Raw genomic sequence first — 20,199 nt, 5'->3', positions numbered from 1 at the left:
GTTCACTGGAGTAGCATGTTTAATTTCCTTCAATAACTTTTCCTTTGCATTCATAACTTGGCAAATTATTTGGCACAAGAGGCCTAGCTTTCAGCCTTATTTGGCTTGTGACTTGTCTTCCTCACTAAAGCTTTTAGAGGCCATTATAGGGCTGTTAATTGGCTGAATTTCAATATTGCTGTGTCTCGGGGAATAGAAAGGCCCGAGAATTGGGAGAGAGATAGGAGAATGGCCCAACAGTGGAGCCGTCAAACACACACAACATTTATGATTTACGTTCGCGGTCCTGTCTAGGTGCAGCTCATAGTGCCCCGAATAATTACAATAGTAACATCAAAGATACTGATCACAAACCACCATAACAGATACAATACTAATGAAAAAGTTTGAAATATTGCAAGAATTACCAAAATGTGACACAGCGACAGGAAGTGAGCAGGTGCTGTTGGAAAAACGGCACCCATAGACTTGCTCGATGTCACGTTGCCACAACCCTTCGATCTGTGAAAAAATGCAACATCTACAAAGTACCATAAAGTGAAACGCTATGAAATGAGGTATGCCTGTACATGTGTCTTTACTTCTGCACACTGATGGCATGGAATTGCTACAATCTTATGATCAAACAGGAACAGATATAGAGTTGTTTCTTAATGGATAAGCAAAGACAGTGGTCTCTTGAGGAGGAATCTACTCCTGATGAAGATGTTGTGAATATTGTTGAAAGGACACAACAGAATATTTGGAATATTTCATAAACTTAGGTGATACATCAGCAGGAAATATTTAGGAACTCAAGCCTTCCTGTGCTCTGCACGTGGATCACGAGAGCCACTTCTCAGGGATAATTAGAAAAACGGAATTGGGAGTTGGAAATAGAAAAGAGAAGCAAAGCAGATGGCAGAGAAAGAGGCCTGGGTCCCCCAAAGCCTCGGGGAAAATCTCAGCAAGCAGAAAGCATGTAAAACTGCATTGCATGGAGGTCTGCAAAGAGAGTGGCTGCAAGGAGTGTACACACAGGCTGATGGACGCAGGGCCCAGGAGGCAGGAACGAACAACCCAAAGTAATAAAATCAGAAACATTTTGAATATTTTGAGAGAAGACGAGTCAGAAGAGCAACAGCAACAACAAAAAAGGCTGTTAATATTCTCACTATCTGCATGCAACGAGGTAAGACGAATTTATAAGTGTTGCATTGGAATGCAAAAGGAGAGGTTTTAAAAAATATGGCATAAGAGATTGAAAATGGAAAATGAAAATAAGTGGTTCAGAACCTCTGTGGTGTCGAATTTCAGATACATAGAACACCATCAGCATTTCCTCTCCTATTTTCTGTTTCATCTCCCATTTGTGTGTGCAGCAGGTTTTCTCAGCATCAAAAGTATCTGGGTCAGGTGCAGTGGCTCATACTTGTAATCCCAGCACTTTGGGAGGCTGAGGGGGGAGAATCACTCGAGCCTAGGAGTTTGAGACCAGCTTGGGCAACACAGCAAGACCCCATCTGTACAAATAACACAAAAAAATTAGCTAGGCATGGTGGTGTGCACCTGTAGTCTGGGAGATTGAGGTTGCAGTGAGCTGACTGCACCACCGCACTCCAGCCTGGGTGACAGAGCAAGACCTTGTCATGAAATATATAGTTAATTAATAAAAAAATTTTTAAAAAGTATCTGCCTTCAGTCCCCCAACTCTGTTTTCCAGAAGGTCTACAGATCCCCTGATTTGACCCCCATGGTGATTTCTAGGAATTGGGTTTTCGTGGATGGAAAGGGATGATCAAGTTTGCTTCTTATCAAATGGGAGAGGCATATTCCCAGAACCTCAGGCCTGTTTTCTGGACCAAAGCCATCTTTTCTTGGGCGAAACTTCAATGTGTTCTCAAAGGCTGCGTTGCCTGAGCTCCGACACTTACATGATAGCATCTGGAAGCCAAGAGGCTGCTGGGTGTCACTCACTTCTGTGTTTTCCGACGACGACCAGGGGTGCCTCCTACATGCTAATAGCTCGCCAGAGCCCCGTCACGCCAGCAGGGCACGGGTGCCTTATTGGCACAATGCATCATAATGACAAGGTGTTTGGATGATGTATCGCTTAAAAGATGAAGCCATCAGAGAATGAGTCCAAGATCAGATTGAATTTAATTACAGGATAAAAGAATCTCATCTGTCATTTTGGTGATGAATTAACTGAGAGAAGAAACGTTGAGTCTCTCGGAAAGGACGGAGAAGAGGAGGAAAATGTATTAACAGGGAGGACACACAGAGGAGACGTCGCTAATGTCCTCCCCTGAGCCTACTGAATCAGAAAGGTCCTGGGCGCTAATGTCCTCCCCTGAGCCTACTGAATCAGAAAGGTCCTGGGAACAGAGCTTGACACCTTCCAAGAGGGACTCCCACCCTCAATTCCTTCCCACAGTGCACACCTCATCTTACGAACATCTCATTACAGCCAGTAGCTGTTTCAAAGAGTGCCCGTCGAAATCTCCAGGGCCATTTCTTGCAGACCCTGTTAGTCACACCTCGTCCATGGTATGGGCTGTGGAGGGGCAGTGAGTCTCAGCTCGGGGACAAAGCTGCATCAGAATTTGCAGGAACGTGTTAGGTTTGAACATGTGCAGGTGTACAGGCAACTTCTATGAACACTCTCTCAACTATGGTCCTCAAAAGTGATTGTGATGTGTATAAAAGTATGTGGAAGGCTGGGCGCACTGGCTTATACCTATCATCCCAGCACTTTGGGAGGCAGCGGTGGGCGGATCACTTGAGCCCAGGAGTTTGGGACCAGCCTGGGCAACATAGTGAGATCCCTATCTCTACAAAAATTTAAAAAAAAAATAAAAAAGCCTGGTATGGTGGTGTGTGACTGTAATCCCAGCTACTCAGGAGGCTAAGGCAGCAGGATTGCTTGAGCCCAGGAGTTCAAGGTCACAGTGAGCTCTGGTGGCACCACTGTGCTCCAGCCTGGGTGACAGAGTGAGATGCTGTCTCTAACAAAATAAATCTTTTTAAAAAGTATATGTGGGCAGAGGTTCAGGGGAATATTGAACTGCTCTGTATCTTGATTATGGTGTGATTACTTGATCACATGTGCTTGCTAAAACCTGCAAAATTATACATTATAAAGAGTAAACAGGCTGGGCGCCGTGGCTTACGCCTGTAATTCCAGAACTTTGGGAGGCCTAGGCAGGCGGATCACCTGAGGTCAGAAGTTGAAGACCAGCCTGGCTAACATGGTGAAACCCCATCTCTACTAAAAATATAAAAATTAACCAGGTGTGGTGGCAGGTGCCTGTAATCCCAGCTACTCGGGAGGCTGAGGCAGGAGAATCGCTTGAACGCAGGAGGCGGAGGTTGCAGTGAGCCAAGATCGCACCACTGCACTCCAGCCTGGGTGACAGAGTGAGACTCTGTCTCAAAAAAAAAAAAAAAAAAAAAAAATAGTAATTGCCTTGAAAAGAAAAAAAAAAAAAAACCCAAGAACCTCAATTATATAAAAAACTAAGATAGTGTTATAAATTAAAAACAAAAAATCAAGCTGGGACACTAGGCCTAAACAGCGTCTGTCCTGGGCAGATAGGGACATATGATCACCACCTATATGGCCTAATTCACAGCATTATCCTAAATAGATGCTCACTTGGATGTGAGGGTGATCTGGCTGCAACTTCTGTCATCCCATTGATCGCCAGGGTTGATTCAGCTGATCTGGCTGGCTAGACGGGTGTCCCCTTTCTCCCTCACCCCTCCACGTGCATCCCTCCTGAAACTGCATGCTTGGTCAAAGAGGATGACCATCCCCAATAGAGGAAGACCAGTCTTTGGTCAAGGGTATACGAGTATCTGCACTCCCCTGCTAGAACCCCCAAACAAGTTCTCAAAATAGATGCTCAATAAATAGTTGTGGATTGACAAAGAAAAGCACCTGCCAATGCTTGTTACGATGTGGAATCCTAGGCCCCACCTCCACTAGGTCGGGGGTTGGACTTTGGAAGAGGCGGTTACAATAAGTCCCCAGAGGGTTCACTGGGTCAGTGGACCACACCTGAGATGCTGAGTGGAAGCCCTAGCCCTTGATCCTAGCACCGGAGGATCTCCATACTCTGTCCCTTTTGGGCCACCCTGAACCACCTGCTTCTGCCAACTGTGTGATTATTTCCTGAAATGTGCCTCGTGATTCCAGCCTCTGCACCTGGGCTTTCATGTTCCATTCCTCTCTGCTTCCTATGAGTCTTTCCACTGTGTTTTGCTGTGGCCTGGAGAACACCGAAGGACTCAAGGATATGAGGTGCTCTCCAGAATTCACCAGATGCAGATCAGAGTACCCAAGACCAAATGATATGGGACATTCGTTTGACAGCTGGCATTGCCCTATCTGAATCTCCATGTTCTCATTAATAATAATAATAAAAAAAAAGCAGGTGGTGCCAGGCAAGGTGGCTCACATCCAAAATACTAGCACTCTGGGAGGCCAAGGTGGGAGGACAGCTTGAGGTTGGGAGTTCCAGACCAACTTGGGCAACATAGTGAGACCCCATCTTTACAAAAAAACTGAAAAATTAGCTGGGTGTGGTGGTTCATAACCAGTAGTCCCAGTTACTCTGGAAGCTGAAGCAGGAGGGTTGCTTGAACCCAGGAGTTTGAGGCTGCAGCGAGCTATGATTGCACCACTGTACTCCAGCCTAGATGACAGAACAAGACCCTATCTCAAATAAAAAATAAAGTCGGGGGGATGGGAGGAGGTTACTATTTACCAGACAGAGTAGTTGGAAGGATTAAACATGTCACCAAAAACAGATATGGGTCTTATTGTCAGCATTTTTGTTCTTTAACACAGCCCAGCCCTGACCCAGAGTGTTCAGAGCTGTCCCTAGGCAGGGGCTGGAACACGCGGCTATGGGGCCAGAGTCCATTGTATGCCGCACTGTTCAAACCCTGGGCTGCGGGTCAGCTGTAGGGACCTGAGAGAGCAGATGCAGAGCCATCGGGGGCGTTCAGGGCTGAGAAAGATGCCACAGTGGGTCCCTGGGGTCAGCACTACCCCTAGCCCCCTCTTTCTTCCTGATAGCACCTTTGCCTTTCTGGAGAAATCAGAAGCTGTGGCTGGAGAAGGTTGACCAGCTGTCTGGAGCGGTGTAGCAAGAAGGGCCTGGCAGAGGAGGGTGCTCTCCGTGCAGGGTAGCCAAAGTGTTCTGGTTTCACTGTGGTTGCTCTAGCTTGGGGACCCACCCTGGGCCTGGGTGCAGGAGGGCAACAGCCTGGTAGAACTGGGGGTCTGTGGGTCTCCTTAGACAAGAACTTCTGTTCCAAATAGGTTCAAGCCAACACTAAGGCTGCTACTGCATCCTTGATGGTTTCTTTTGTTTTTTTTTTTTTTTTTTGAGACAGAGTGTTGCTCTGTTGCCCAGGCTGGAGTGCAGTGGCATGGTCTCAGCTCACTGCAACCTCCGCCTCCTGAGTTCAAGTGATTCTCCTGCCTCAGCCTCCCGGAGTAGCTGGGATTACAGGCGCCCACCACCACACCTGGCTAATTTTTGTATTTTTAGTAGAGACGAGGTTTCATCATGTTGGCCAGGCTGGTCTCAAACTCCTGACTGGAAGTGATCCACCCGCCTTGGCCTCCCAAAGTGCTGGGATTACAAGCGTGAGCCAGTGCGCCCAGCCTTGACATTCTATTTTTAAATAAAACTCAGGCTTCCAAAAAGAAGCGGATGTTTGTCTAATTCTAATTAGTAATCAGCCAAAACCAAGGCGACAGACATTTCCGAGCAAGCAAGGCTCTCTGAGTGGCCCGGAACATCTTGTTGACAAACACATGCTGCAAGACAGGAAATTACCCTCCTCAGTGCCTATTTTATCTCTGTTTAATTGCTGTTTGATAATAAATTACAACATAGAGTCCATTAATTAAGCTAGCGATGTCCGTGGAGCACCAATTCCTTCTGCTGAGAGCCGCCTGGTTACAGGAGCTCTGATTCTGCCACTGTTTGCACCCATGGCATTTTGGGAAGCAGTTTAGAAGGATTCCAGTTGGGTGACAGGACTCCTTGCACAGAAGGAGTGGGTTTGGGAAGTGGGGGAGCTTTGATGAGTGAGTAGAGGGACCGCCTGGCAGCTGGAGAGCCACACCAAGCGTTCTCTAATTCAGGACACGTGGCTGAACAGAAAGCAACATGAGATTGACTTTTTAAAAAGCAGCTGACGGAAAGCAGCCGGGGCCCACTTAACAAGCGTCCATCCCAGAGCCGGGGGAGCCATGAGCAGCCTAATCCGGTTTGCCGTTCTAAATCAACTCAATCTAATCAGCTCCATGGCAGGAGCTTTCACTTGGAAAAGTTCCGCACGCAGGTGGAACTGGGAAAGATGAAACCCAGCCATTTCCTAACAAAGGGGCCACACTGTGCTGGGAGTGCCACTAAGCTCCCAGCAGGAAAGGAGACTTGATGTCTGCCTCCTGCCTGGGGAGGGAGTCAGAAGGTGGTCACCTTCAGAGTGAAAGCCCTCATTAAATTTTAACCACAGGCTCAAGCACAGGGGCTCACACCTGTAGCCTCAGCACTTTGGGAGGCGGAGGTGAGAAAATTGCCTGAGATCAGGAGTTCCAGAGGTCAGGACTTCTACACCAGCCTGGGAAGCATAGGGAGACCCCTATTTCTACAAAAAACTTTTTAAAAAAAATTAGCTGGGCAAGGTGATTCATGCCTGTAATCCCAGCTACTTGAGAGGCCGAGATGGGAGGATTTCTTGAGCCTAGGAGGTCAAGGCTGCAGTGAGCTATGATTGCACCACTGGACTCGAGCTTGGGTGACAGAGCAAGACCTTGTCTCTAAAAAGAGAAAAGAAAAGAAAGAAAAGTTCTGACCATGTTGTCCTGAAATTATGCCATCCAGGCATTCCTGCTGGTCTATCAGGTTCCCACTGGGCAGAAGCTTGAGGGAGGGGCTATAGAGGAATAAAGGCTCCAGACAGAAAGGTAAGGAAGGTCAAGTTCACAGCAGTCTGCCCCAGACTATGTCTGGAGGTGTAGGCATCACAAAGGTGTTAAAGATGCTGGGGAGGGTGGGGGGCCACAGGGCCACAGAAGGCAGACACTGCCGCCTTCACATCCCAGCCCTCAGGTTCACCCACGTGCTTCCTGAGTGGCTTTAAAAACCTTCCCCTGAGGCCGGGCGCAGTGGCTCTTGCCTGTAATCCCAGCACTTTGCGAGGCCAAGGTGGGTGGATCACCTGAGGTCGGGAGTTTGAGACCAGCCTGACCAACGTGGCGAAACACCATCACTACTGAAAATACAAAAATTAGCTGGGCATGGTGGTGGGCGCCTGTAATCCCAACTACTCATAAGGCTGAGGCAGGAGAATCGCCTGAACCCAGGAGGCGGAGGTTGCAGTGACCCGAGATCGCGCCATTGCACTCCAGCCTGGGTGACAGAGCGAGACTCTGTCTGAAAACAAAACAAACAAACAAACAAAAACAAAACAAAAACAAAAACAAAACCTTCCCCTGAAACACCCAAAGCAAAATGTAACTGCTTAGAGCCACATGGGGAAGCTATGGGATCAGACCATCTTTACTTTGTTCCACATTCATAGGACAAGTGGACGTCCTTGGAGCAGTTTTTGATTATGCCAGTATCTAACTGGGATAGCCTCTACTATGTCACCGTTAATAAGTGCGCCATTCAAATGTGACTTATTCAGAAGATTGAACAAAGAAGTCTGGGAGTTAAGTGCTCTTTTCACAGCTACTCTTGGAGTAATTGCCTAAAAGGATGATCCGGCACAGCCATGGGGCCCAGGAGTGGGACTGCCCTAGGCTCAGCCTCTGGGATCTTGCTGCCTGGGCCAGAGGCTGTGGGTATCCTAGGAAGGTGGTGTGGGGAGTGTGCTGGGCCCTGCCTCCCACCCTCTATGTCCCCTTTCTTCAAGTCCTCTAGGCTCAGTACCACAAGTTGCTATATCCAACTCTTGGCCATCTCAGCCCGAGACTAGCTAGGGCTTTTCATTTGGTCTATTCCAAGACATAGCTTCTTAGTCCCTGCTGGAACTGCTGTAGGCAGTCTAAACATATCACCTCTCCCACCCCCAGGTGAGCCTTCCAGTGGCTCCCTGACATCCTCTGGATCAAGTCCCATTTCCTCAAACCAGCGGCATCAGCATCACCTAGAAATCAGCTGGAAATGCAAAACTGGGGCTGGGTGCTGAGGCTCACGCCTGTAATCCCAGCACTCTGGGAGGCCAAGGTGGGAGGATCCCTTGAGGCCAGGAGTCCAAGACAAGCCCAGGCAACACAGCAAGACTCTATGTCTACAAAAAAATGGAAAATTGAGTGGAACATGGTGGCATCTGCCTTTAGTCCCAGCTACTAAGGAGGCTGAGGCAGGAGGAGCACTTAAGCCCAGGAGGCTGAGGCTGCAGTGAGCTGTGATCACACCATTGCACTCCAGCCTGGGTAACACAGCAAGACCCTATCTCTTAAAAAAAGAAAGAAGAAAATGAAGGAAGGAAGAAAAGGAAGGAAGGAAGGAAGGAAAGAAAAAAGGAAAGGAAAGGAAGAAAGGAAGGGGGGAAGGAAGGAAGGAAGAAAGGAAGGAAGGAAGGAAGGGAAAAGAAAGAAAGGAAGGGAAAGGAAACAAAAGGAAAGGAAGAAAGGAAGGAGGGAGGGAGAGAGGGAGGAAGGAAGGAAGGAAAAGAAAGGAAAGGAAAGGAAACAAAAGGAAAGGAAGAAAGGAAGGAAGGAGGGAGAGAGGGAGGAAGGAAGGAAAGGAAGGAGGGAGAGAGGGAGGGAGGAAGAGAGAGAGGGAGGGAGGAAGGGAGAGAGGGAGGGAGGAAGGGAGAGAGGGAGGGAGGAAGGGAGGGAGGGAGGAAGGGAGAGAGGGAGGGAGGAAGGGAGAGAGGGAGGGAGGAAGGGAGAGAGGGAGGGAGGAAGAGAGAGAGGGAGGGAGGAAGGGAGAGAGGGAGGGAGGAAGGGAGAGAGGGAGGGAGGAAGAGAGAGCGGGAGGGAGGAAGAGAGAGCGCGAGGGAGGAAGGGAGAGAGGGAGGGAGGAAGAGAGAGAGGGAGGGAGGAAGGGATAGAGGGAGGAAGGGAGAGAGGGAGGGAGGAAGGGAGAGAGGGAGGGAGGAAGGGAGGGAGGGAGGAAGGGAGAGAGGGAGGGAGGAAGGGAGAGAGGGAGGGAGGAAGGGAGAGCGGGAGGGAGGAAGAGAGAGCGGGAGGGAGGAAGGGAGAGAGGGAGGGAGGAAGGGAGAGAGGGAGGGAGGAAGGGAGAGAGGGAGGGAGGAAGAGAGGGAGGGAGGAAGGGAGAGAGGGAGGAGGAAGGGAGAGAGGGAGGGAGGAAGGGAGGGAGGGAGGGAGGAAGGGAGAGAGGGAGGGAGGAAGGGAGAGAGGGAGGGAGGAAGGGAGAGAGGGAGGGAGGAAGAGAGAGCGGGAGGGAGGAAGAGAGGGAGGGAGGAAGGGAGAGAGGGAGGAGGAAGGGAGAGAAGGAGGGAGGGAGGGAGGGAGGGAGGGAAAAAGAAAAAAAGGAAGGAAGGAGAAAACAAAAGCAAACTCTCAGACCCCACCGGAGATCTGACCCAAAAACTCTGGGGATGGGGCCCAGGAGCTGGTGTTGTCGCAGCCTTGGGGACGATTCTGCTGCCCACTGCAGCGTGCAGGCTGGAGTCTTGGTGCAGGCCTCCTTAGGTCTCTCACCATCTGCTCTCCACCTCTCTGCTGCCTTCTCTCTCAGCACTCCCTTCCCTCTTGCATTCAAAGTTCCGGCCAAACTGGGCTACCTCCCACCTCCCAGGCCCCAGCACCGTGGGTTACGCTTATTCTACTGTAGATTTCTTGCCTCTTTTCTAGTCCCTCCCCTTCAAGGGTAAACGATTTGGGAGCAAAGACTGCATCATACCAGCTGCCTGTGTTACAGTGGTGCCTAGCATTTTAGAATAGGTAATCAAGACATATTAGTTGAGTGAATGAATGAATGAAGACGTGCACTTATTTTTTTCTTTTTTTAAGAGACAAGGTCTCACTCTGTCACCCAGGAGTGCAGTGGCATGATCATGGCTCACTGCAGCCTTGAAGTCCTGGGTTCAAGTGATCCCCTCACCTCAGCTTCCTGAGTCGTGTGCCACCACGCCCAACTCATTTTATGTATTTTTTGTAGAGGCGGGGGTCTTGTTATGTTACCCAGGCTGGTCTCAATCTCCTGGCCTCAAGCAATCCTCCCGCCTCAGCCATCACAGCCACCTGCATTAGATTCTGTAGCTCATATTGCTTTCCATGTGCATCCCCATTTCCCTACAGAGAACCTTCAGGGAGAGGAGAAGGTCTAGGCTTCCCAGCCAATCTCCTACTCCCCACAGGCACTTTTCACCAATCGTAGATGGTGATGGTGCTCCATAAATAACTTGGATTTAAATGGATCGCATTTGACTTTTTTTTTTTTTTTTTTGAGATGGAGTCTCGCTCTGTCGCCCAGGCTCTAGTGCGGTGGCACGATCTCAGCTCACTGAAACTCCACCTCCCAGGTTCAAGTGATTCTCCTGCCTCAGCCTCTCCAGTAGCTGGGATTACAGGCACCCGCCACTATGCCTGGCTAATTTTTTTTTTTTTTGAGACAGAGTCTCACTCTGTCGCACAGGCTGGAGTGCAGTGTTGCGATCTTGGCTCACTGCAAGCTCCACCTCCTGGGTTCATGCTATTCTCCTGCCTCAGCCTCCCGAGTAGCTGGGACTACAGGCGCCCACCACCACGCCCAGCTAATTTTTTGTATTTTTAGTAGAGACGGTTTCACCGTGTTAGCCAGGATGGTCTCGATCTCCTGACCTCATGATCTGCCCACCTCAGCCTCCCATAGCACTGGGATTACAGGCGTGAGCCACCGCACCTGGCCAACAGAGACGGGGTTTTGCCATGTTGTCCAGGCTGGTCTCGAACTCCTGACCTCAGGTGATAATTTGACTTTAAAATGCTTGGCTGTGCTTGGCCCAGGGCGGAAGCTCACACCTGTAATCCCAGCACTTTGGGAGGCCGAGGTGGTGGATCACTTGATGTCAGGAGTTTGAGACCAGTCTGGCCAACATGGTGAAACCCCGTCTCTACTGAAAATACAAAAATTAGCTGGGGCAGGGTGGTGCAAGCCTGTAATCTCAGCTACTCAGGAGGCTGAGGCAGGAGAATCGCTTGAACCCAGAAGGCGGAGGTTGCACTGAGCTGAGATTGTGGCACTGCATTCCAGTTTGGGTGACAGAGAAAGACTCAGTCTAAAAAAATAAACAGATAAATAAATAAATAAATAGTATAAAATGCTTGGCTGTGCTGGAAAGCCTGGGTTCTAGGTTGCTTTGCTCACAGGCACTTGCCCCTCTGTGCCTCAGTTTCCTCATGCTGCCTGCCTACTTCCCAGAGTTGCTGCAAGGTCAAAGGGCTGAGGATTTGAACAGTAACCTGTCTGGCATTGCTCACCCACCTTAGGAGGAAGGGTGAGTATCCATCTGGACATTGAGAACTACCGGCAGTGATGTGGCAGAGGGTACACAGCTGACCTCGGGGGAATGCAAAACCACTACACACAGAGAAAAACCTGTGAGCCTTGGCCGGGCACGGTGGCTCACGCCTGTAATCCCAGCACTTTGGGAGGCCGAGGCGGGCGGATCACAAGGTCAGGAGATGAAGACCATCCTGGCTGACACGGTGAAACCCCGTCTCTACTAAAAATACAAAAAAATTAGCTGGGCGCAGTGGCGGGCGCATGTAGTCCCAGCTACTCTGGAGGCTGAGGCAGGAGAATCACATGAGCCTGGGAGGCGGAGGTTGCAGTGAGCCGAGATCATACCACTGCACTCCAGCCTGGAGGACAGAGTGAGACGCCATCTCAAAAAAAAAAAAAAAATCTGCATGCTGCAACAACCACTTATGAATTTTTTCCCTAGCTTCTTTACAGAAATAACCAGAAAGACTCCTACCTTCTTCTTAAAAATTTTTCTCAGAATAAATAACTACCAAGGTAGACAGCAACAAAGTTTATCCAGAAGGCCTGCAAGGCCTCTGTGGGTCGGAGATGGTGATATTACTTCCTTCCTGGTCAGAGACGAGCTCCTACCTGTGGTCCCCAGCCATGGCACGGATACAATATTGCTGTGTGGTTCTCCAGCGGCCCCTGGTCCAAGCAGACGTCTTTTGCCTTGTTGTTGCGAAGCTGCAAGAATAGACAAAACACGACCCATGAGAGCTCAGCTAGTGGAGGTGTGGATGCCGAGTCACTGTTCTACCATGGCTTGGTTCCAACTTCATGATGGGAAGACAACACGAGCCTCTAAGTGAGGACCAGGGCTCAAATCTTTGCGGTGATCACCTTAACAAGAAAGATCAAGTCTTAAGGTGGATGGCATGGATGCTAGGTCTCTGACTGTGTCCTGGGCAGCTTGCCCCCCCACCCTCACAGCACCTCCATTCCTAACATGAAAGGCAATCTCAGGGAACTTCTGCATACAGGAGCACTGGTTACCCCGATCTTAGACTTCTAAACAGCTTTGAAGCTTCTAAGTGGCTTCTAAGCTTCTCAGTGGCTTCTAAGTCTTCTAAGTGGCTTGTAAAATCCAGTTATCCAGATGGTTAGGCTTGTAAGTGGGCCTCAGCACCGACATTGGTTTTAATAAACTGGGTAATCAGAGGTTAGCTTCTCAGGTCATTATTTGCATAAAGGCATGAAGAGCCTAAAAGCAAATTAGGCTGGATGCGGTGGCTCACGCCTGTAATCCCAGCACTTTGGGAGGCAGGAGGATCGCTTGATCCCAGGAGTTCAAGACCAATATGGGCAACATAGCGAGGCCCCATCCTAAAAAAACATTAAAACAAATTAACCAGCCATGGTAGCAAACACTTGTAGTCCCAGCTATTCAGGAGGCTGAGACGGGAGGATCGCTTGAGCCCAGGAGTTCCAGGCTGCAGTGAGCTATGATTGCACCACTTCACTCCAGCCTGGGCGACAGAGCAAGACCTATTTCTAAAAAAAAAAGAAAAAAAAAACCTAAAAGCTTACTATCATAAAATGCTCTAGCAGTATCTATTTATATATTCAAAAACATTTACTGATACCTATGCTGTACTAAGCACCATTGTAGGTGTTTGGTGTTTGGAATGCACCCACGGAGGAAATAGACAAAAGTCCCCAAAGCAACACCCGTGAAACTAGGCATGGGTCTTTGGGAGCATGTGAGAACTGATCTAATTTGGATCTCTGGGTGCACTGTGATCTATATGGGTATCCATCCCACCACCACCCTAGGGTCTCAATGAGTGGGAAAAAGGTCATGTTGCTGGTCCTTTCCATCTATATTCATTCCCCTCCAGGTTATATTCTCCATGGAAACAAAGAGAGGAAAAGGCATTTTGTTCTTTTTCTTTTCTTTTCTTTTTTTGGGACAGAGTTTCGCTCTTGTTGCCCAGGCTGAAATGCAATGGCGCGATCTCGACTCACTGCAACCTCCACCTCCTGGGTTCAAGCGATACTCCTGCTTCAGCCTCCCGAGTAGCTGGGATTACAGTCGCCCGCTACCACGCCCAGTTAATTTTTTGTATTTTTAGCAGAGATGGCGTTTCACCACGTTGGCCAGGCTGATCTCGAACTCCTGACTTCAGGTGATCCACCTGCCTTGGCCTCCCAAAGTGCTGGGATTATAGGTGTGAACCACTGCGCCTGGCTGGCATTTTGTTCTTTATGTACCCAAATTGTGTTTAGGCTCAGACAACTCGAGCAGATTTTTAAATTCTTTCTTTTTCTTTGAGTGACAGGGTCTTGCTCTGTACTCCAGGCTGGAGTGCAGGGGTGCAATCATAGCTCACTGCAGCCTCCATCTCCTGGCCTCAAGCAATCCTCCCACCTCAGCCTCCCAAACTGCTGGGATTATAGGTGTGAACCACTGTGCCTGGCCAAGAGCTCTTTACATATTAAGGACATGAATGTTTTAACAGAATATTTGCTTTACGTCATGATTTGAGGCTGCCAGGCTTTTAAACTTTGTTCTAATGTTTCTGCAATCAAATCTATCATTCAGTAATTTAATAAATATTTATTGAAGGCCTGGTAAGTGCCTGGCACTGTGCTAAATTTAATGAGCAAAAGATAAATAACATAGTCCCTGCCCTAAAGTAGTCCACGGTCTACTGCAATGTTTGAAATATGCTAGGGCCAACAAGGAGAGCTTCTTTTTTATTTTTTATTTTTGAGACGGAGTCTTGCTCTGTCACCAGGCTGGAATGCAGTGGCGCAATCTCGGCTCACTGCAACCTCCACCTCCTGGGTTCAAGTGATTCTCGTGCCTCAGCCTTCTGAGTAGCTGGGATTACAGGCACGCGCCACCACACCCAGCTAATTTTTGTATTTTTAGTAGAGACAGGGTTTCACCATATTGGCCAGGATGGTCTCCATCTCCTGACCTCGTGATCCACCTGCCTCGGCCTCCCAAAGTGCTGGAAATACAGGCGTGAACCACTGCAACTGGCCAAGGAGAACTTCTTTACCCCTTCCGAGGATTCAGAGATAACTGCTAAGAGGAGATGACTCCTTCCCTAAGCGTTAAAAGCATATGTGGGCTGGGTGCGGTGGCTCACGCCTGTAATCCCAGTGCTTTGGGAGGCTGAGGCTGGAAGATTGCTTAAGGTCAGGAGTGTGAGACAAGCCTGGGCAACATAGTGAGACCCCACCTTCACAAAAAATAAACAAAATTAGCTAGGCATGGTGGCATGTGTTTGTAGTCCCAGCTACTCAGGAGTCTGAGGTGGGAGGGTGGCTTCAGTCTAGGAGTTTAAGGCTACAGTGAGCTGAGATTGCGCCACTGGATTCCATCTTGGGTGACAGAGCAAGGCTGTGTCTCAAAAAAAAGAAAAAGTTGTCTAGAGCCAACAGCAGTGGCTCACACCTGTGGTAGCAGCTACTAGGGAGGCTGAGGTGGGAGGATTGCTTGAGCAGAGGAGTTCTTGGCTATAGTATGTCATGATCATGCTACTGTACTGTAGCCTGGGCAACAGAGCAAGACCCTATCTCTTTTTTTTTTTTTTAAAAAGGAAGAGCTATTTAAAAATTGGTTTTTGACTAATTTGGTTTCTTTCATTTAACACTATAGTCCATCTGAAATATATATATCTGTAAATGGTGATACTCAGCAGGTAGAAAAGGAGTAATAGAACCAGATGCCTTAAAATGTTAACATTGATTATATCTGGGAATTGGGATTTGGAGTAAGTTTAGTTTTCATCTTTATATTTCCGATAGAATGTATGTATTGATTTTATTATTTTAAAAAGAAAGTTTGTAAAAACAAAAGGCTTCTCTCTTCCAAATAATCAGACTATGATCACAATGTCACCCCCAATGCCACCCCCACTGTACGGCTCAAGGGACATCATTTATACTGTGGTTGATGTCAAAGGCAGCTCCTGGAGTTGTGCAGTGCACAGACTTGGAGCTGTACACAGCAGCTCTGGCAGCCTTCTAGCCTAAGTGGTTTATGCCTATAGCCCCAGATACTCGGGAGGCGGAAGTGGGAGAATTGCTTGAGCCCAGGACTTCAAGGCCAGCCTGGCAAAACAGTGAGACCTCTATAAAAACAAAAACAAAAACACAAAATTAGCCAGATGTGATGATATGTACCTGTAGTCCCAGCTACTTGGAAGGCTGAGGTGGGAGAATAGCTTGAGTCCAGGAGTTCAAGGCTACAGTGAGCCAAGATTGTGCCACTGCACTCCAGCCTGGGGGGCACAGGCTGGTCATCATGTTTATTATTTCCTTTTTAGTAACTATTTTTCTTCTAATGATGAAAGTATCACCTGACATTAGTGAAAGCTGGAAAAGCATGACAAAGTACCCACTTGCAAAACTGCCCAAAGTCCTACTTACTACCCAAGGTAATTATAAGTATCTTCTCCATTTCCCAATGCTATTATCACACTTGCTTCCAATCTAAAATAGCAGCGATTTCAGTTTTATCATCCTGAGTTTTTTCCTCTTAAGCATTATGGTATCAATATTTTTCTCATGTCATTAAACTTTTGTACGCACCATTTATAACAGCTATAAAATATCCCCAACCATGAATGCATTACATTCAACTAATCTCCAAGTTAAATTAAAAAAAAATTTCCTCAAAAATAACATGTCTGAGCTGAACAATTTTACTCTCAAATCTTTGTCCTTATTTCAGATTATTTGCTTGGGATATGAGTGGAGAAGAAACTATGACTGTCATTATCAAGCTTTTTAATACATGTGGCTCAAATTGCTTTTTAAAAGGCTTGTTTCAATTTGCACTCACAGAAGATATGATTTTTTTCATATTACTAAGGCCTTGCCTGTAAAGTATCAACACAAAAAATGAATCTTTGTTCATTTGCGGATAGGGGGAAAAAAAAACACCTCTGTGTATTTAATTTTTTATTTTCTTTGACTATGAAATAAATTTAAAATTGTCATGTGTTTTTCATCCATGTGTATTTTTTCTTGTGTAACTGACCTTGTACTTTGTTTATTTTTCTTTGAGGATGTTTTATTTTGTTGTTTAAATCAAATTTTTAAAATCACGCCTGTAACCCCAGTACTTTGGGAGGCTGAGGCGAGTGGATCACTTGAGGTCAGGAGTTCAAGAGCAGCCTGGCCAACATGGCAAAACCTCGTTGCTACAAAAACACAAAAATTAGCTGGGCGTGGTGGCGTGTGCCTGTAATCCCAGCTACTCGGGAGGCTGAGACAGGAGAATTGCTAAAACCCAGGAGATGGAGGTTGCAGTAAGCCAAGATTGTGCCTCTGCACCCTAGCCTGGGTGACTGTTTCAAAAAAAAGAAAAAAATTAACTTAACTTGCAAAGCTTATTATATATTAATGGTATTTGTTCATCTATAGCATTTGTGGTATATGTATTTTCAGTTTGGTGTATTATTTCTCTACTCAGTTGATGTACAGATTATTTTAATATTTATGAGCTTGGATCCATGACACATTTCCTTTGCATTTCTTGCGTGGATTTCATTCTTAGAAAGCCCTTCCTCATTCAGAGATCAGATTCATCACTATTTCCTCATGGTTCTTTTATTATTTCTTTCATGTAATGCTACAGTTCATCTGAAATCTACTTTGGTAAATGGTGAGCTGTAAGAATCTAAATTGATTTATTTTCCAAAAAGCTAGGCAATTGAGCCAATTGTCTTATTGTCTTAGGAATAATCCATTCACTGCCCATTGTTTGATTCTTCCTTTATATTTAATCTTACTTTGATAATTTTAAAAAATTCATGCTTTTATTTTGGAGAAGAAAAGGCAAGGCAGTTCAGATCTATTAATAATTACTGTTGTGTGCCAGGTACCATTTTTTTTTTTTTTTTTTTTTTGAGACAGAGTCTCACTCTATCACCCAGGCTGGAGTGCAGTGGCGCGATCTCAGCTCACTGCAACTTCTGCCTATCGGGTTCAAGCAATTCTCCTGCCTCAGCCCCGAGTAGCTGGGATTACCTGCACCAGCCACCACGCTCAGCTAGTTTTTTAATATATATATCTATATAGACAGGACTTCCCCATGTTGGCCAGGCTGGTCTTGAACTCCTGACTTCAAGTGATCACCCGCCTTGGCCTCCCAAAGTGCTGGGATTACAGGCGTGAGCCACGGTGCTTGGCCATGCCAGGTACCGTTCTAAGAACTTCACACATCACAGCTCATTTTATCCTCCCAGGAATCCTGTAGAGGAGATACTCTCCTTCCTCCCATTTTATAGATGAGGGAATGGCTGCCAAGCAGACCCACACAGCTGGTAACAGCCTACTAGGATTTGAACCCAGCAGGCTGGCTCTAGTCTTCATGTATCCCTAACCGCCCTAGAGACTGCCCTTGCAAGATGTGAGCATCCCATTCCAAATTCCAGCTCAGGAGGGTCACCACTCTACACCCTGATGACTTAACCTGTGGTTGATTTATTTTCTATAAAAGGCAGCAGGCAAAGAATAGGAAAATCCACAGTTGTAGAAAAATGTAAATACTCCTAAGTCAAAGGGATTCTTCTTAGCTTTAACCTGGTAGTCACAGGGAGTCCCAGGAAAGAAAACCCGATTGCAGAGCTAATGGGGTGTCTCAGCCAAATTGAGAGCACCTGGCTCTCTGCTCCTTGGCCTGACTGTGTGTCACCGATTCCATCTCAAACAGGCATCACAAGGGAGAATGAGGTGGATGCATGAGTGTTTCTATATGAAGATGTTCTCAGCAATGGTACTTGTGATATTTTAAAATTGGAAAAGACACCAGTGTCTATGTTCTCAAGCAAAGCCCAGCTTACACAAAAAGTGGAACCATGTGCGGCCATTAATTACTGACAAAAAATATTTCATGATACACTTATATATCCTCCATATTATTGAGTAAAATTTCAAATTATTAGGCATTGTGAATGGAATGGTTTTAGTAAAAAAAATACATGGGTATATACACATGCACACATATACACACACATGCACACACACACACGCACACACACACACACACACACAGTCCGGAGGCCCACACATCAAAGTGTACACGTTATCTCTGGTATCCAGATCCCCAAGTCCAACCTTGGCTTTGTGACTTACACGCTCTGTGACCTTAGGTAAGTTAGATAATTTCTCTAAGTTGCAGTTTTCTTATCAAGAAAACAGAAATAACGCTAATCTCTCATAAGGTGAAGGTGAAATTAATTTGTATGCAAAAAGCACTTAGAATAGTGCCCAGTACTTCAAAAGCACTCAAATATTCATCCCTAGTATTATTATTTCCAAAATGTTCTCAAATGCATATTGATGGTATTTGTAATAAGAGAAAAATCGCTTTGCTTTCAGGTTTAGAAAGGTGATATGATCACACCATAGACAATCTGAGAACGTTTCCTCCTTTCTTTGATAAGTGATTCCAGCCCACAGCACAGAGCAATGGAGGACTCCAACCCTCCTGCCTCTCGTTACATCCAAACTTCCTGCTCAATATCTCCATTTACAGGTCCCAGAGGACCTCAAAGTCAAAATTTCCCAAACAGGATTCATTATCTGCTACATATCTCAGGCAAAGTAGACTATCATAGTCTTTTATCCATAGTCCATTGTAACATTCATCACATTTGTTCCCTACCCCAACCCCCCAGCTAGAGAGAATCTTGCTATCAGGGCCAGCACCTCCAAAAACCACTCATTGAATGAATGAATGAGCAACTCTATTTCTCCCCAGCGAAGCAACCCACAGCATATTGAACAGCATTCCAAGCCAAAAGCATGCACGGTCTGAATTACCTCCCCGTAAGCAACGGTATTATTGTATCTTCTCATTTCTGGGTAAACATGGTCCAGGTACCACTGGAAATTCTTACACTTTAAACTTTTCCTTAATGCTCTTCTTTCGGAGACATCACCGATGTCAATTCCCGGATTCTGAAAGGAGAGAGAAGCCAAGGGGTGTTAGTGACTGTGGAGCTCTGGCCAGAGTGGGGCACAGGTGGAGTCACTTTCAGGGAAACCTTCACATAGAAGATCTTAAGCCTGGGCTGGGCACGGTGGCTCATGCCTGTAATCCCAGCACTTTAGGAGGCAGAGGTGAGTGAATCACGAGGTCAGGAGTTTGAGACCAGCCTGGCCAACACGGCGAAACCCCGTCTCTACTAAAAATACAAAAAATTAGCTGGGCATGGTGGTGGGCACCTGTAATCTCAGCTACTCAGGAGGCTGAGGCACGAGAATCACTTAAACCCAGGAGGTGGAGGTTGCAGTGAGCCGAGATCATGCCACTACACTCTAGCCCAGGTGACAGTGCGAGACTTTGTCTCAAAAAAAAAAAAAAAAAAAGATCTTAAGCCTCGTATGCTTATTCAGAAGGGTGTTTGTTTTTGTTTTTTGAGTCACAGTCTTGGTCTATCACCCAGGCTGGAATGCAGTGGCACGATCTCATCTCACTGCAACCTTGGCCTCCCGGGTTCAAGCGATTCTCCTGCCTCAGCCTCCCCAGTAGCTGGGATTCCAGGCTTGCATCACCATGCCTGGATAATTTTTATATTTAGAGATGGGGTTTCATCATGTTGGTCAGGTTGGTCTCAAACTCCTGACCTCAAGTGATCAGCCAGCCTCGGCCTCCCAGAGAGCTGGGATTACAGGTGTGAGCCACTGCACCCGGCCAGAAGGGTGGTTTAAGGAGACCTATTTGATTCATCCAGACCCAGGC

General features: G+C 47.0%; 1 protein-coding gene and 1 pseudogene across 2 annotated transcripts in view, besides 1 other annotated feature; one reads left to right on the top strand and one right to left on the bottom strand.

Moving 5' to 3' along the window:
• The window catches only part of GALNT17 (polypeptide N-acetylgalactosaminyltransferase 17), a 581,456-nt gene that overhangs the window by 24,213 nt on the left and 537,044 nt on the right, over positions 1-20,199 (bottom strand). For both annotated transcript variants that reach the window (NM_022479.3, XM_011516467.4), the window contains exons 8-9: positions 19,278-19,415; positions 12,081-12,176 (exon numbers count right to left, since the gene is read on the bottom strand). In NM_022479.3, coding sequence (NP_071924.1) covers positions 12,081-12,176; positions 19,278-19,415 — 234 coding nt within the window. The remainder of the gene's footprint in view (positions 1-12,080; positions 12,177-19,277; positions 19,416-20,199) is intronic.
• On the top strand, positions 3,640-3,935 carry RN7SKP75 (RN7SK pseudogene 75; annotated as a pseudogene).
• Positions 6,162-6,947: an enhancer, noted in NCBI's record as "OCT4-NANOG-H3K27ac-H3K4me1 hESC enhancer chr7:71147425-71148210 (GRCh37/hg19 assembly coordinates)". NCBI's record gives its function as "activates a minimal SCP1, AML or CMV promoter by ChIP-STARR-seq in naive H9 embryonic stem cells {active_cell/tissue: H9 hESC(naive)}" and the evidence as "EXISTENCE:reporter gene assay evidence [ECO:0000049][PMID:30033119]".

Source organism: Homo sapiens, chromosome 7 (genome assembly GCF_000001405.40).
Source record: "Homo sapiens chromosome 7, GRCh38.p14 Primary Assembly".
Taxonomy (NCBI): Eukaryota; Metazoa; Chordata; class Mammalia; order Primates; family Hominidae; genus Homo; species Homo sapiens.
This window is presented reverse-complemented; position numbering and strand designations above follow the sequence as displayed.